Here is an 18,251-nt window from a genome sequence, read left to right on the forward strand (position 1 = left end):
AGAATGTGCGTAGAGATACATGATGACACAGTCACAAATCTAATTCTTCATGCAGATAGTCTTTCAAAATTCTTAGCAAATTTTAATTTTTAATATTGTGAGCCTCAGCTGTAGTAATTCAGATTTAATTATCATGTGATCATGCTGGGGTGATTGTTTTTAGTGCAGACATAGGAAATCAAAGTTGGCAGCTGGGCTGCAGCTGTGCCCCAGCTGGTTTTATCTGAGTTGAATTCAGAGGGAGAAGTGGCAGCATGCTCACCAGCTCCAGAAGATAGTCTTCTTTGGTCATACAAAGCAATACCTGCTAGATGCTTTTTGAGCTAGTGCAATTAACACCCAATTAGTGAGACTTCACTATAAAGGTATTAAGAACATAGTCCATGTGTAGTGGACATGTCATCATTGTTTCTTTACAAATTAAATAAACTTGCTACGTAGAAAATTTACTTTATATAATTAGACAGTGTTTTCCCTAAATTACAAAAACATGCTCTTAAATTTGGCTGTCTTAAAGTTCTCTGAACTTGTAAGATTTTGACCTACCATATCTAATTTTTGCCTGAAAATATTTTATAGATGCTGAGTACAATAGCATATTTATGTTTAAAAATACGAAATTGGTTTATTGATTTTTTAAATTAATTCTTACTAGAATTTACATCAGCTACTTCTGGCTTTCCTGCAGGAAAAGAATTCTTGCAGCTTAGATTAATCAATATTGTCCCTATTGTAAAAGACACTATATTGAAAGCTGTAATATAATTTTCACCATGCATAATAACAAAGAGTGTCTAATATCCATAATTATTAAGAATTTTACCCATCGAAGAAAACAACTCATAAGAAAAATAGCTAAGAGTTTTGAACAAGTAGTTCATAGATGAAGAATTATAATTTGCAAATCATAAAGTCACTAATATTTAAAGAAATGCACATTTTAGTATGTTCTACAAGAAGGCTCTTCCTCATGCATTAAACTCTCAATGTAAATGTGATACTTAATGAGGCTGGTGCAAATAAGGAAAGGTTCCCTCATACCAGGCATTCCTACAAATTCTCTTGGGAATGAGTTCTCACAGTACGACTTCTGGTTGAAGGCTTTCCCATATACAACATATTCATATGATCTGTGCAACATGAATTCTCTGCTTTATGATTAGAGCTGATTACTGTGAGAAGGCTTTATGACTTTCAGGAAACAAATAAGTTTTTTTTTCCATATATGAATGCTCTGATGCATACTGAGAACTGATTATCTGGATACCAGGGTGACTGAATGGAGCCCTTATCACAGTCACTGCATTGATAGGCTTTATCTTAAGTATGAGCATGCTGGGTTTCTTCATATTTGACATTTGAAGGCTTCCTCACAGTTAGTTCACATATAGGTTTCTCTCCTGTATGAATTTAGTAACGTAGTTGAAGATGTGATTTCTTAGCAAAAGACTTCTCACAGATGCCGCATTCATGAGGTTTCTCTGAAGTATGAATCTTCTGATGAGTAGGCAACTCTGATTTCTGTCTGAAGGCCCACCAACATTCAGTACAAACAAAGAGTTTCTCTCTAGTATGAATATTTTCTGGGATGAAAGAAGACTTAATCTTTTGGTGAGAGTTTTCCACACTGAATACATATATATGGTTTTTCTCCTGTGTGAACTCAACTGTGCCCTAGGAGTTGTGGTATCAGGCTTGTTTTCTTATTTTATTCTAAATGCTTGTGATCATTGCTAGTGACAGCCTTCTAGTCCTGAGCCACAGCCAACCCTTCAGCCTCACTGAACAATGTGATTGGTACTAGATTATATATATTTTTGTTTTATATTTGAATATATTAAGGTGAAGTTGGATTATTTTCTGTCACATAATTGAAATGGTTCCACATTACATTATTGGAAAATCATTTGTTTTATACTGACCCATTACCTGATATTTTACCATTGAATGGCATTTTTAGTATCTTTGTGTGATTGTCTTTCAATTGAAGTTTTTGAGGGATATATGCAGCATTTTGTCATTAAATTTGTGCAGATACATATGATGGTTTCTCTGTTATATTTTATAATATATAAAACGTGCTAAAATTGTTACAGCAAGAATATTTGTTTTCTTAATCTTGTTACTCTCATTGTGATAAGTTTCTTATTATCAAAAGTGGCCTAAATAGTTATCAACTTATGTTTCATTGTCATGGGTTTAATGTACAAATAGAGATATTATTAATAGTATTTCCCAAGTCTTTAATATTTCATTTTTATTGGATGTGAGATCATCTGCCAGAGATAATTAATTTCATATTATTTGTGTAAGTATTATTTATTGAGTGTTAATACATAGCAGATACTGTGAAGAATATTTTATGTACCATCTCATTTAATCATCTTAGTAATTTTTAGTATGAAACTAGGTTTTCTTAAAAAGTCAGGAAACAACAGGTGCTGGAGAGGATGTGGAGAAATAGGAACACTTTTACACTGTTGGTGGGACTGTAAACTAGTTCAACCATTGTGGAAGTCAGTGTGGCGATTCCTCAGGGATCTAGAACTAGAAATACCATTTGACCCAGCCATCCCATTACTGGGTATATACCCAAATGACTATAACTCATGCTGCTATAAAGACACATGCACACGTATGTTTATTGTGGCATTATTCACAATAGCAAAGACTTGGAACCAACCCAAATGTCCAACAATGATAGACTGGATTAAGAAAATGTGGCACATATACACCATGGAATACTATGCAGCCATAAAAAATGATGAGTTCGTGTCCTTTGTAGGGACATGGATGAAATTGGAAATCATCATTCTCAGTAAACTATCACAAGAACAAAAAACCAAACACGGCATATTCTCACTCATAGGTGGGAATTGAACAATGAGATCACATGGACACAGGAAGGGGAACATCACACTCTGGGGACTGTTGTGGGGTGGGGGGAGGGGGGAGGGATAGCATTGGGAGATATACCTAATGCTAGATGACGAGTTAGTGGGTGCAGCGCACCAGCATGGCACATGTATACATATGTAACTAACCTGCACAATGTGCACATGTACCCTAAAACTTAAAGTATAAAAAAAAAAAAAAAAAAAGACACCACCATTCAGAACACAAAAAGCTACAGAAGGTCCAGGCTACTGAAAAGCATCAAGACCAAGCTGTTGTAAGTCAAACTGCTTTTATGATTGCATTCTTTGATGAAGACAATCCCAGAAAAAGAAGGTCATATTCTTTAACTCAAAGTGCGGGAATCTTGTGTCAGGGAACTACATATTCAACACCACATACAAAACTTGAGAAAGCAAAGTCTTCAACAGCAGATGCCAAAGTGGTTTCTTTGTCTTTACAGACTAGCTCTGTGCATCACAGAGTGGGGCATGGTGTTCCACATGGGAAACTGTTAAAACAGAAATCAGAGGAGCCATCGGTGTCAATACCCTTCCTACAAACTGCATTATTAAGAGGTTCAGGGAGTCTTGGGCACAGACCAAGCCAGGAGATGGATAAAATGTTAAAAAATCAAGCAACTTCTGCTACTTCTGAAAAGGATAATGATGATGACCAAAGTGACAAGGGTACTTATACCATTGAGTTAGAGAATCCCAACAGTGAGGAAGTGGAAGCAAGAAAAATGATTCACAAGGTAAATAATTGAAATTTGAGTGTGATCTTAGTTGTTGTGTGGTGTATTTGACTGGTGGAAATTATTGGAGAGTCAGCATGAGATGTTGTCATGCAGTCAGTGGTATGTGAATTTTAGGGTTTTATTAGGGAACTGCAAGACTAACAGTAAGACCAACATGCTTTGTGATTTTATTTGCTGATATTCTGAATTTACCTGAGTTTCATACATAAAGCTCTGTACATTTAAAAGGTTAAAAAAAAAAAAAAAAAGAAACTAGGTTTTCAAGTTGGTAATGGTTTCAGACTGTCTATGTAAAGCATAAGTAGCATGATTTGAAGTGATTCATTCAAAAAATGTATAAAATCAGAGTAATAGAAGCTAAATTACTCAAATCTTGCTCAGATATAAAATTTTTTTTCAGCTTTCATAGGAATCTGCCCTTCGATTAGTGAGAAAATACGGTCTTCTGTTGAAGCAGAGAATTTGACAGTCATGACATTATATTGTGAACCTTTAAGTTTTACTGCTTTATTTTCTGTAAATTACTACATTTCTATAGTAATTTCGCAGTGTAAATGCTGAATGAATGTGATTAGCTATATTTGCAGGCTTAGAGCATCTGTGAATACTTCCTGGTTTTTGGTTAGTTGTGTTTATTCCTAGTTCTATGTCCTATTGAATTGGACTTTGCTTATTTAAAGAAAAGTCTATAAAGCTACAGGCAAGAAAAGTTGGAATTTCTTCCTTGGGGAAATCTCAAATGTAGAGTTTTAAGTAAATATTAAGGTTCAAAATGGGCAATATAATGAGCACATTTGAGGAATTTGTAAGTATTTATGTAACACTTCATGTTTACAAAATGTTTTACAGCCATATTCATTAATTTACATAAGTCCCTTGGAAGGTAACAATGTTATTACATGTGTTTTATTAAGCAAGACAGGTAAAATTTAGGCAAATTAAGTGGCAGAAAGGAAGAGACATTAAAACATTTATTCTGTGACTTGCGCCTATATCATAGAGCGTGCTCCTGCATTAGGGAAATAAAGAAATAAAATGCTTCTCTTTTGTTATAGACTTGATCATGGTGCCTATTTGGGTAATTGTTTATATATATTCATATAGTTTTATATATTTTTTATTTTTTGATTATGAGACACAAAGGCCTTCCAACACAAATTTCAATGTATGAAATATCTCAACTTAATAGCTGAAGGATAAGATCCTGGGTTATAAATTCTCCATTAAATGTTGCAGTTATCATGATCAACAGATTGGTGAATATGTCTGGTGGCTGCTCAGTATTGGTCTAGATAGAATATACTATGGGACCAAAAAAGATATGACCGTGGAGAGCTCACTTTGGTGGCCACACACTGCCTGCAGGCTGCTTGTTCTCTGCCACTCTGTTTTTTGGGAGGACTTTCCTTTCCCTCTCATAGAATAGCAAATTTCTGCTAAAAAGTAATAAATTTGCTCAAAATATCAAAAAGGTACGATTAGAATATCTTCCATAGTAAAAGAGATTAAAAATAACCTAGACTCTTGCATTAGAAAGCAGAGGGAGACATGACAAATTATTGCATTCAATTAACTTTTCTTTTACTTACTGAGTGCCCAGAAATTGCTTTAACACCCTGAGGTGTGACCATAAGGTAATGAGGAGTGATTTTTAAAAATAAATATACCATAAGGTACACTGTTTAAATGAGTGCTATTCTTCAATGTAGCCACTCTTTACACTAATCCAACGATGCTGTCATTGCAAGAAATATTTTTAGAACTTGTCCTTTCGAATTGCCGTTAGAAGCCATTTATGGACTATAGAAGAAAACAGTCTCACATTGACTTAAAGTCGCACTACATTTTTTAAATCAACCCCTCCCCTGCAAAGAAATTTATTACCCAAATAGATTACTGACCTTTTCACTAACCTTTGTTCTGCATTTTTTTCTTTTCAAAATCAGTTCTATAATTTAAAAAATAACAATTTGCCATCAACAAGGATATTTATTTCCTTTTTATTTTGAAAAGAGTTATTAAAAAATCTATATCAGAAAACAGTAGACAAAATAGTAGTTTCCATATATCCTTCACCCAGTTCCCTCTAATGTTAACATCTAATATAAGTATAGTACAGTTACCAAAATCAGGAAATTAACACCAATAAAATACTATTTGGTAATCAGTAGACATCATTTAAATTTCTCCAATTTTCCCCACTAATATCCTTTTTCTGCTTCAGGATCTAATCCAGCATCCCACATTGCATTTAGTTGTCATGACTCCTTATGCTGTTCCAACCTGTGACAGTTCTAATGAGGACATTTAAAGGAAGTGTGCCCCTCGCCCACCAAAAGGAAGAAAGAGCCATAGACTCTGAATGTAATTCCAAAAATATCTTTGTCTCTGTAGCTGTCTTGTCAACTATGTCTTTTATTTATTGGATTTTTTGTAACCTGTGTACCAAATTTATGCAGATTGCAGCAATAAGAAGAAGGGTAAGATGTGCTTGGGCACAAAGGAGTTGTGAGGACAACACATCTGTCCATAGCCATTGTGCAGGTGTATTTTGAGCTCTGCGGATTTTTTTATAATGCTTTCACATTTGGTTCAAAATATTTTAAAATCTTCATTATGATTTCTCATTTGATTTGATCCTCATTTATAATAGCTCGTGTGTGTGTTGTGTGCATGTGTATGTGTGTGCACATGTGTGTGTGTGTGTTCATTCATTTCAGGAACTTTATCTGTTAAAATTCTTTGAGGCCAGTGTTTAAAGTATGTTCTTCAAGGGAAGATTCCTATTTGCTCCCATCAGATGCTTGTGAACACTTCAAATGCAGGGGAACCGCCAAACAAGTTCTTTTTTTTTTTATTGAGACAAAGTCTCACTCTGTCACCCAGGCTGGAGTGCAGTTGTGCGATCATGGCTCACTGCAGCCTCGACCTCCCTGGCCTCAGGTAATGCTCCCACCTCAGTCTCCCCACGTACAGGCACGTGCCACTCACTAATTTTTCTAATTTTTTTTTGTAGAGACAGGGTGTCACCATGTTGTCCATGTAGCTGAGACTATAGGCACGTGCCACCGTACTCAACTAATTTTTCCGATTTTTTTGTAGAGACAGGGTCTCACCATGTTGTCCAGGCTGCAGTTCTTGATGTTAATTTCTTTTTTTTTTTTTACAACTATTTTATCATTTATTTATTTTTTATTTTATTTTATTTTATTATTATTATACTTTAAGTTTTAGGGTACATGTGCACAATGTGCAGGTTAGTTACATATGTATACATGTGCCATGCTGGTGTGCTGCACCCATTAACTCGTCATTTAGCATTAGGTATATCTCCTAAAGCTATCCCACCCCCCTCCCCCCACCCCACAACAGTCCCCAGAGTGTGACGTTCCCCTTCATGTGTCCATGTGGTCTCATTGTTCAATTCCCACCTATGAGTGAGAATATGCGGTGTTTGGTTTTTTGTTCTTGCGATTGTTTACTGAGAATGATGATTTCCAATTTCATCCATGTCCCTACAAAGGACACGAACTCATCATTTTTTATGGCTGCATAGTATTCCATGGTGTATATGTGCCACATTTTCTTAATCCAGTCTATCATTGTTGGACATTTGGGTTGGTCCCAAGTCTTTGCTATTGTGAATATTGCCGCAATAAACATACGTGTGCATGTGTCTTTATAGCAGCATGATTTATAGTCCTTTGGGTATATACCCAGTAATGGGATGGCTGGGTCAAATGGTATTTCTAGTTCTAGATCCCTGAGGAATCGCCACACTGACTTCCACAATGGTTGAACTAGTTTACAGTCCCACCAACAGTGTAAAAGTGTTCCTATTTCTCCACATCCTCTCCAGCACCTGTTGTTTCCTGACTTTTTAATGATTGTCATTCTAACTGGTGTGAGCTGGTATCTCATTGTGGTTTTGATTTGCATTTCTCTGATGGCCAGTGATGGTGAGCGTTTTTTCATGTGTTTTTTGGCTGCATAAATGTCTTCTTTTGAGAAGTGTCTGTTCATGTCCTTCACCCACTTTTTGATGGGGTTGTTTGTTTTTTTCTTGTAAATTTGTTTGAGTTCATTGTAGATTCTGGATATTAGCCCTTTGTCAGATGAGTAGGTTGTGAAAATTTTCTCCTATTTTGTAGGTTGCCTGTTCACTCTGATGGTAGTTTCTTTTGCTGTGCAGAAGCTCTTTAGTTTAATTAGATCCCATTTGTCAATTTTGGCTTTTGTTGCCTTGATGTTAATTTCTAAGCTGCAGGTTTTTAGGCCATATAAGTGGTTTAAGTTTCTAGCCCTAAATCACATTAGGCAGGTTTTAGATAGAAATTCTCATTAGGGCAGAGATCTTTGTTACCCAGTGCCTGGAAAGGTGCCTAACAAAAACTGGCCCTCAATACATATTCATTGAATGAAAAAATGAATGAATGGGGAAGACCCTTGTCCCCTGCCTTTTTTTTCCTGATATATTCAGAACCACATCTGAGAAGGACAGGTCTTCTGCTTCAAGGTGGGTTTTTTTTTCTTAGTTTGCCAACTGAGGGTGTCACCCTTTGGGAGCCTGGAAGTCTCAACTTTAAGTAAGGGTCCTCATTTAATCTCTTGTCCTGCTTGGGCCCGGGCTCTGTCTGCTATCCTCCCAACTCTCTTGCCATGTGCCCATTTAGAACCCAGGCTCTAGTTCATTAAGGATTGGCAACTGCTCTCAGGAAAGAATCCTCCCAAGTTTTTTTCCTTCTGAGAAATGTTATTTTTTTCAGTTGTTTCTGGCTTACATTTATTTCTGTTACTCTCTGGCTGAACCATGCTTAAAAAGACATATTTTATATTTTAGGTGTGATGTACTAGTCTTCTGTCATATTGCTAGGAGTGTGATTCTCTGTAACAATTTCTTTAGAGAAGGTATAATGTAAAGTAAAAATTAATATGGAGGAATGGGTTATAGGGAAGTTAGTGTCCCTGAGATCATGAAATTATCTCTTTACGCACTGGAAGTTATTTTTTTCTCTCGTGTTTCAAGTTAGAACTTTTTATTATGTCATAGATTAATCACACTGCTGTCACTTATTGAGTGACTCTTGTGCATCAGGCATTTTACATATATTATTTCTAATCATCATAAAAGCTTTGCAACCAGACTTAGCAGCTTTATTGCAAAAGTGAAGAACCTGAAAGCCAGAGCATTTATGAAACTTTTCCAATTATTCCAGGCAGTGAGAAATTGTAGTAGACATGTTTTATGGCACCTGCTTGCCATGCTTCTAAGAGGCGTTATTCCTCCTTGTTGAGGAGTAACAGCCCTGGTTTGTACCATATGACCCCATCCCCATCTTCTAGTCAAGTGATCTAAGGATCCACAATCCTTAGCTTGGTAAGTGCCCTCTTGCTAACCTAAAAACGAAAAAGTCAACAGCTTGCTTTATAGGGAATTCCAGAAGCATTTCCATAAACTTATTAAGCCAATGATCACCCTTATTCCTACTATCATTTAGTATTGTTATAGTAGCACTAGACAAAGGAGTCTTACAAGAAAAAGAAATTAGAAATAAAAAAAACTAGAAAGGAGGCATATTAACTATACCTTCTAAGTAATATGATTGTATATTTGGAAAAACCAAGTGATTCAACTAAAAAATTTACAAAAATAAAAGAATTCATAATGACAGATTCTGAGAAAGAAGAACATTGCGGTGGGACTAGACCAATTTTTGTAAAATGTATTAAGCTACAATAACTTAAAGACTGTGGTGCTGGTATAGATAGTTAAATGGAAAAAAATGGGACATCCAAAAATAAATGTGGAAGGAGTATAAGATATATATACATATCTTATATATATATATTTCACATAAGATAATGTTGGCATTGCATATCACAATAAACACTGGAGCATTCAATAAATCTTACCATTAGGCAAAGAAATGGAGTTGAATTTATATCTTAAGCCTTATCCAAAAATAAATCCTTGGGGGCAACAATGATTTAAATGTGAAAAATAAAATCAAAAAAGTATTGGAAGAATATCTAAGGTTATTTAAGATAATTTCTACATTAGAAAGTCTTTTCAAGTATAATATAAAGCACAGAAGCCATAAGATAACTAACTTTAAATACTAAAAAACAAAGTTTATGCATAACAAGAAAATCCATTGTAAGCAAAGTCAAATGACAAATGAAAATCTGGAGAAGATATTTCACATGTATCACAAACCAAGACTATTTTCCCTATTGAATAGAGAGCATCTACAAATAAACAAGAAAGCAATGACCAGCGATGGGTAAAGGATAAGGACAGATCACAGAAAAGTAAGCACAAGTGCTTTTAAAATTTAAGAAAAAGATATCAGACTTCCCTCCTGATGAAAATTAAATGGAAAACATGATATATCATATTATTGAAGATAAAGAAGCTTGATCAAAACTGGCTATAAAGGGTTTGAGAAAGCAGTTGGTTTTATACTTTTTGGTGGAATGATAAATTGTTAGATACAACTTCTGTGAAGGCCAATCTATAAAAAAAACTTAAATGCATGTATCCTTTGACTAAGCAATTCCACTTAAGGAATTTTCCTACATTTGTGTTTTTCATTTGAGCAAAATGACTGACATAAGTATAGTTATTGCATCAATACTTATAATAGCAGAGGACTGGAAACAACTTAATTGTCATCAATAGGAGACTGAATCAGTATATTATGGTACTCCATGGAATATACTGTGCAACTTGTTAAAAGAATGAAGAAGTTCTGCAGTGGTAATGGAACAAAATCCAAGATGCATTATTAAATAAAGCAAAATGAGAACAGTATGTCTAACATGCTCTCCTTTGTATAAAACAAACACACACACACACACACACAGACACACACACACAAATGCATAGCTTATCTTTGTTGTAAGGTTGTTTCCAGGGGGGGGTTTTGCTGTGTGAGAAACAGGAAAAAGAGACTTTCTTTTCAGTGCAAATCCTTTTATGTTTTATCATTTTCAGGCTTTGCCTGTTCCATAAAAATAAAATTAACCATATAAATGTCAGGAATGATCTTTTCTTTTCTTTTTTTCTTTCTTTCTTTTTTTTTTTTTTTTTTTGAGACAGAGCTGTCTCCTCCAGACTGGAGTGCAGTGGCATGATCATGGCTTACTCCAGCCTCAACCTCTCAGGCTCACATGATCCTCCCACCTCAGCCTCCTGAGTAGCTGGGATCATAGGCGTGTACCACCATATCTGACTAATTTTCTTCTTGATTTTTAGTACAGTCAGTATCTTATTATGTTGCCCAGGCTGGTCTTGAATTCCTGGGCTCAAGCAGTCTTCCCACCTTGGCCTCCCAAAGTGTTGAGATCGCAGGCATGAGCTACCATACCTGGACAGGAACTTAGTCTTTTAAAAAGTTAGATGATATCAGCTGGGCACGGTGGCTCACACCTGTAATCCCAGCACTTTGGGAGGCCGAGATGGGTGGATCACTTGAGGTCAGGAGATCAAGAGCAGTCTGGCCAACGTGGTGAAACCCCATCTCTACTAAAAATACAAAAATTAGCTCGGCATGGTGGCGCACACCTGTAGTCCCAGCTACTCGGGAGGCTGAGGTGGGAGAATTGCTTCAACCCGGGAGGTGGAGGTTGCAGTGAGCCGAGATTGCGCCACTGCACTCCAGTCTGGGCAACAGAGTGAGACTCCGTCTCAAAAAAACAAAACCAACCAACCAAACAAACAAAAAACTGTTGGTTGCATTTCAAAAATCTAACTGAAAAGACTTTGTGCACAAGCAACTGCATGGAATTTCATTTATCCATCTTGGATAAAAAGCCTAGTTGGTCCTGCTATGATTTGACTCTGTGTTTCTTCAGGCTCTAAGTATTCCAAAATGATGCATTAGCTCCCTGGACTCTCTGTGCATCAGAGACCTAGGATGTGCTATTTAAATCATCTGGCAAATTGATGTGTGGGGGAATGGAACTCTTTCCCCCATTTTTTAAAAAAAATTAAATTTTGTAATGGTGGCACATTGTATAATAAGCACATATGAAGATTGGAGCTATCATTTTGGAAATGACCTTAAATAGAAGGAGGAAATGATAGACTCATAGTACCATCCAACAGTGTGGGTTCAGCCTATTTTCCATTCCTACCACAGAGCTGCTGGGTGACTCTGAGTAAGCAGTTTCATCCAATTTTACTGTAAGCCTTTGCATTCCTAATAGAGGCACAATAGTATTGGTACCTGTCTTATTCAGAGAGTGGCAGATTAAGAAGACTTTGGGTGATTTCTAACTTCTAGCAGCCGTACACACGAAAAAGTCTGTACAATATAGTGTGTTTTTGTACTCAGATATTTCATGTGATGGCTCTATTTTTTGAAGCCATAGAATAATTCTTCCTTAAGTAAAACAGCAAACTAGCTCCTTGATGTCACTGAGTTTGTGAATTATTTTCGTTCATTTTGATTAGTACATAGGCCTCACAAGCTATTAAGGAGAAAAAAGAAGACAGGTTTTCTTATTCTTATTTTAATGATGAGATATATACAGTTGAAAGGAATTATGTAAGGCCGGGTGTGGTGGCTCACACCTGTAATCTCAGCACTTTGGGAGGCCAAGGGGGGCGGATCATGAGGTCAGGAGTTTGAGACCAGCCTGGCCAACATGGTGAAACCCCATCTCTACTAAAAATACAAAGATTAGCTGGGCATGGCGGGCACCTGTAATTCCAGCTACTTGGGAGGCTGAGGCAGGAGAATCACTTGAACCCGGGAGGTGGAGGTTATAGTGAGCCGAGATTGTGCCATTGCACTCCAGCCTGGGTGACAGAGCAAGACTCTGACTCAAAAAAAAAAAAAAATTATATAGCTTTCTCAAGCTCTCATGAGAAACAGGTGACGAAGTGAAATTTTCCTGCATAATGTCACATTGGATGAGAAATGTATCCTTATTTAAAATGTTACATCAGGGAGTCATATGCTTTATGGTGCACTCATGCCAGCAGTAACATTGTTGAGCTCCATATGAGACACACAGCAAAGTGGTTTAAAAATTGCATAGGGCTGTAGCATTCATTTACACAACATTCAAAACAAAACAATTACTGAATCAAGCAAGTGGAAATGCAGAATCTAAGGGGGTGAAAAAAGATTGTCTTGTGTTTACTTCTTTTTTAATTCTCTCATTGTCTTCAGTTGATATTCCTCTCAGATGCCAGATACCTGTCATTGTTGCCAGATGACTGGACTCTGCTGGCTCATCAAGGGGCTGTGGCAGTGCTTGTTTCCATGAGAGCTGGAAGAAAAACTGCAATGGAAAAGCACACGCAGTCGTTCATAAGTAGCTGGCTGTGTAATTCTCAGTGCCCTGTGTTCATCTGAATGTGAACTTAATCTGATATTGCTTAGAACTGGGGCTTCATCAATGCAAATGACTGTGCTTGCAAGCTGAACTTCAATATTTGTGAGCAGTGGCAGAGCACTTTGGTTAATGTGTACATATTCAGGTTTGTAGAAAAAAAATCTGTGCAATTTGACTGTGGTCAGTTTAGTTGCCAGGAGAATTGGATATTCCTGGGAAAAGAAAAAAAGTGTCTCACTTCTGGAGCCATTGTAACCATGTAGGTATTTAAGAGGTTTTTGTTTTGTTTTGTTTTGTTTTTTCAAAGATAAATCCCTTTTTGGATGATTAGTCAGTTGATCTTAAATATCATGTAATTGGCCATGAAAATTGATGGAAGGCTCTGTTCTTAGAACTGTAGCTCCATTGAAACTCATTCTCATGGTGTCATTTAGAAAGCACCAACGTCCCATAGGATCACATGAAAACAGAGTCTAAAGGAGTTATCAAAATGATACTTAAGAAGTTGAAGTAAGTCATCCCATATCTGATCTTCATGATGACTATCAACACTTATGTTAGATGGGCACTCTCATTAATCCTGGTGTTTTCCCATGATTTCTCTGGTGCTAGATCTGATATGAATAACTTGGTTGCAATAATTATAATAGAAGGGAGATTGAATTATATACATCTTTGTTTTATAGCTATACCTTTTTTTGTGCTAATAATTTTTTACTGTAGTAACAACAAAAATCATTCTTTTATCAGCTTTTAAATATTCGTATTCATAATAGCACTTCCCTTAGTTTATGTAGCCTTGTTTCCTGAGCATGTTTGCTGCCTTGATTCTATTGTTGTGCATGCTCTTGTTCTGGGGGAGCCATTTAGGTTTTGTGTATGCCAAAAAAAAGTCTCATACTCAGCAGTTACAAAATTACTTTCCTTCTTTATGGATTACTTTATATTCAAGTCCTCCAGTCCTAAGTCGTTGTCAGCAAAGATTGGAAGCAGCAGTCAGAAGTGTTCTACTCCTTTGAATAACTGCATAAAACTATAGCCCCTCACCAAAGAAAATGGGTTTTCATGTATGACACGTTGATCAGCATGAGATTGCTGCTGAGCTGGAGAAGAGACTGTGCAGTGACTTACTTGACAGCAGAGGTGCTTTTTACTTCCTTAGTACTCAAACTGCAGCATCTGTTCCATACCAGAAGTGAGCAGCTTGTTTTCCAATCAAAATGGATTCTTCTGCAATTGTACCTTTTTTGGAAATTAGGTACACTTTCTAACATATATGTTTTGAGGCCCTTGAGTATTTGAAACATTTCCTAGTCTACTTTCCCAGACTTAAAAGATATCATGTGTGAAATATGTGGAATGAGAATCTCAAGGTGTTTGGGTGGATTCGTTCTACGGAGAATATATTTGCTTATTGCAGTTTCTCAATAAAGACTTTAAAGTAGCTGAGGGAAAATCTAAAAGCACCTCTTCAGAACTGAAATAATTTATGTCTGCTGGTATACATAGAACCTTCCAGAGTATAAGCTAATGAGCCACCTCAGATACCACCTCCTTTGTGAAACCTTCTCCAGCACCCTTAAAAGAAAGTAGTTATCCTCTGCTCTGCTTTTCCAAAGCACTTTGACCCTCTGTAAAAGGGCTTATCTCATATATGTGCCTCAAATTATATTTTTTCATCTCTCTCCCTATTTATCATGGAAATCAGAAAGGAGATTTTGTCTTATTTATTTTTGTATTTCCCAAACTACTCCACCCAGACCATTGAATGTAGCTATAGATCAGGCAACAACCCCAACCCACCTGGTTTCCTCCTGAGTGGTCTGTTCACTCCCTGTGCTCTGCTAGGATTATATGCTCTTAAAAGCACTATTCACATACTGTTTCAACGATTTGTTTATATAGCTGTCTCTTCTATTAGACTGCAAATTCCATGGGGATAGGACTAAGTCCTCCATCTGTATTAACCCAGGGCCTAGCATAATGCTGCAACACAGAGTACTCATTAATTTGTATTGAATGAATGTTGGATTTATTCAGTGAATGGTGGCCTTGAGTATATGAATGGGAAATATAGGGGCTCATATTCCAGTTAGCGGTACTGTATAGTGATAATTCATAAATAACAATTGTACATTGTAACACACACACACACACACACACACACACACACACACACACACACACACACATACACACAGTAATGCTTTTTGTCCCTGGAAAACCACAAGTAACAATGAAGTATTCTGCTTTATTATGTTGATATCATCATGATAGGAAGGATATGTTGCTTATTCACTCTTACTTTAAAACCCAGAGATGGTATTCTGTCATTTCTTAGAAGGTTAAGTAGAATTGATCTGTTATCAGATAGAATTAAATTTTAGAGTTTTCATTGTATCTCATGATGGAATTGCCTGTTAGTTTGTGTCCCCTAGGAATGTAAGTTCCCTGTGAGTAGGTGCTATACCTTCTATGCTGAGGTTCCTAGCATAGGGCTTGGAGAGCATGGTAGATGATCAACAAATATCTATTGAATGGAACATAAAAATGAATGTATGATACAATTAGAAAAACCCATAAAAATTCGTTAGCTTTAAAGTGAAAATTCTTTTTACCGCTTGGGAAGTATCACTGGGACCAAATGGCTTTTAAGAGAAATGTAGAAACCTTCTGAACATGGCAGTATTTAGAAGCTGGAATATGAGTTTGGTTTTGATTGTTCCAAGTTCTTCCTTTGGAAGATCAAACTTCATTCCTTTAGAAGCTTAATCCTTTTTGTGTCTCTATCTTTAGCTTAGATTCTCACCCAGAGAAATAGACCTTCAATAAAGTTAATGTGAAGAGAAGTCAATTAGATCGCAAGAGGAGTTTCTTTGCAATCAAATTACCTGGAATTTTCAGGTCAAACCTGACAGAGTGTAGGTTTCATTAAAAAGGGGCTTATAGGCCAGGCACCAGTGGCTCACTCGTATAATCCCAGCACTTAGGCCAAGGTGGATGGATCACTTGAGGTCAGGAGTTCGAGACTAGCCTGGCCAACATGGTGAAACCCCATCTCTACCAGAAAATACAAAAAATAGCTGGGTGTGGTGTTACACGCCTGTAGCCCCAGCTACACGGGAGGCTGAGGTGGGAGAACCACTTGAACCCGGGAGGCAGAGGTTGCAGTGAGCCCAAATCATGCTGCTGCACTTCAGCCTAGGTGACAGAGTGAGACCCTGTCTCAAAAAAAACGTGAGTGGGGGGGCTTGTAGATACTGCTCTGTATCTCTGCTCTCAAATGATATGAACTTGGTAACAGATACACAGCTCTTACTAAGTTAGCATTCATAATTTTAATTTAAACTCTCAAGCTAGTTTTGGTAGCTCTCTATTTTAAAAGAGTTAACATGTAGTTTTTCATTGAAATTAATTTTTCTTTACTCTGAAAGGTAATTTCCTAGAGATGAGAAGGTATCTAGCCTTTTTCTCTTCTTAGGAGACACAAACTAAGCCAGTTGCAGTATCATTTACTACTTTGTATCTTGCTCTTTTTTGTCATCAAGGGCACTGGTCTTGCTTCTGGAAGAATTCACTGTGAATGAGAAAGCCACAGAAGGATTTAGCTGTAGGAGATCCTTTGCTTAGAGGCTTTTATTTTATAGATGAGGAGATCGGCTCTGAGATGTTAACTTATTTGTTTAAGGTTACACAGCAAGTCCATAGTAGAGCCTAAACTAGAACCTAGGTCTCTTGGCTGCTTGTTCAAGCCTCTTTCTACTATACCTTACGAGTTTTCTTTGTATACTGAGGTAGGATGCTCACTTCCAGGCAAACACTGATTGCTGAAACTGAGAAACTGAGAACTCTATGAGTTTAGAGTTTGGGGTGACAACACAGCTAAAACTTAAAGACTTACACATGTCACATTATTCTTTAACTAGAGAATAATTTAGTTTAACATCAATTTGGTAGTTTAACTACAACTGCTACATTGTACCTAGTGTCTGGTTCAGTGTAGATACCACAGGGCAACAGCAGTGAGGTGCCTGTCACTTAAAAGGGGAAATTAGATTTTCCCCTAAACTAGAAATCGATAAGCACAGGGTCACAGTGGAAATTTACACAATTTTCTTAAATACTATGATCTTGAAAGAATAAAAGACTTGACTGCAAAACTAAATAGCAGATATTAGTCAGAAAAGATGTTGGTCATCTATAGAAGCATGGACAAGATCAAATCGCAAGGTAAAGGTTGCCTGTGCCTACAAGCAGAGTGTACTCCAGTGGTTCTCAAACTTTAGTATATACTTTAGAATTAACTGGAGGCCTTGTTAAAGTACCAATTCCTAGGCCCTATCCCCAGATGCTTATGGCCCAAGAATTTGCATTTCTAACAGGTTCCTAGATGATAGTGATGCTGGTTGGGGAACAACATTTTGAGGATCATTGGTCTATAGGTGTGTTAGTTTTCTACTGCGGTGTAACCACAAACTTAACAGCTTAAAACAACAGCCATTTATTAGCTCACATTTCTGTAGATAGAAATCCAGGACAGTATGGCTGAGTTTTCTATTCAGGCTGAAATGAAATCAAGGTATTGGTTGGCAGTGTTCTTACCTGGAGCTCATAGTCCTCTTCCAAGATCATTCCTTTTATTGGCAGATTTCATTCCTCTGCAGCTTTAGAACTGAAGTCTTGTTTTCTTGGTATCAGCCAGGGACTGCTCTCAACTCCTAGAGGTTGTTCTCTGGTCCATAGAGGGTGCCTTCAGAGGAGAAAATACAGTAGTGTGGCTGACTCAAGTGTTCCTGGTCTATGTAGCAATTGATTTTCTCTGAGGAGATTAATAAATCAACATTCTTATTATATACATCAGCCTCTGTGAATCTGCTTAATGTGGGTCTCCTCTTGCTGTGTTTAAAGATTGGGTTTTGAAACTGATTAGCTGAGATTTAGATCCTGGAATGAAGATAAATTCACCAAGATGAAAACCAATGTTGGGGAACAAACTGGGCAGCCAGCCCTCCCTTTTAGGAATCATCTCTCTATTGCTTTACAACTGTATTTGTTCTTCAAAATTCTCATTGTATAGCATATCTTGGATTAAAGCCATGGTTAAAATTAAAGATCTCAGAAATTCAAACAAAATGTCTAATAATTTTTCTTTAGCCAATCTCCTCTCTTTTTTTGTAGAAATTGATTCTTTTACTGAAGCCTTGAGATCTCTGAGCATTATAAACTTTCTGAACTAAAGTAAGAATCC

The 18,251-nt window shown here is 36.8% G+C and overlaps 1 protein-coding gene, 1 long non-coding RNA gene and 1 pseudogene across 14 annotated transcripts in view; 2 read left to right on the plus strand and 1 right to left on the minus strand.

Annotated features, from left to right (window-relative positions):
• Nucleotides 1-18,251, plus strand: part of RAD51B (RAD51 paralog B) — an 863,318-nt gene that overhangs the window by 292,682 nt on the left and 552,385 nt on the right. The gene's annotated exons all lie outside the window — the stretch shown is intronic.
• On the plus strand, nucleotides 3,100-3,654 carry LOC100420174 (centrosomal protein 170kDa pseudogene; annotated as a pseudogene).
• Nucleotides 8,788-18,251, minus strand: part of LOC105370546 (uncharacterized) — a 45,990-nt gene continuing 36,526 nt past the window's right edge. Inside the window, exons 3-4 of one of the 2 annotated variants that reach the window (XR_943976.3) lie at nucleotides 17,606-17,753; nucleotides 8,788-12,949 (exon numbers count right to left, since the gene is read on the minus strand). This is a non-coding gene — a long non-coding RNA (uncharacterized LOC105370546). Of the gene's footprint in view, nucleotides 12,950-16,326; nucleotides 16,581-17,605; nucleotides 17,754-18,251 lie in introns of those variants that run through there. The other variant, XR_943977.3, reaches the window with a different exon arrangement.

This window comes from Homo sapiens, chromosome 14 (assembly GCF_000001405.40).
Source record: "Homo sapiens chromosome 14, GRCh38.p14 Primary Assembly".
Classification (NCBI taxonomy): Eukaryota; Metazoa; Chordata; class Mammalia; order Primates; family Hominidae; genus Homo; species Homo sapiens.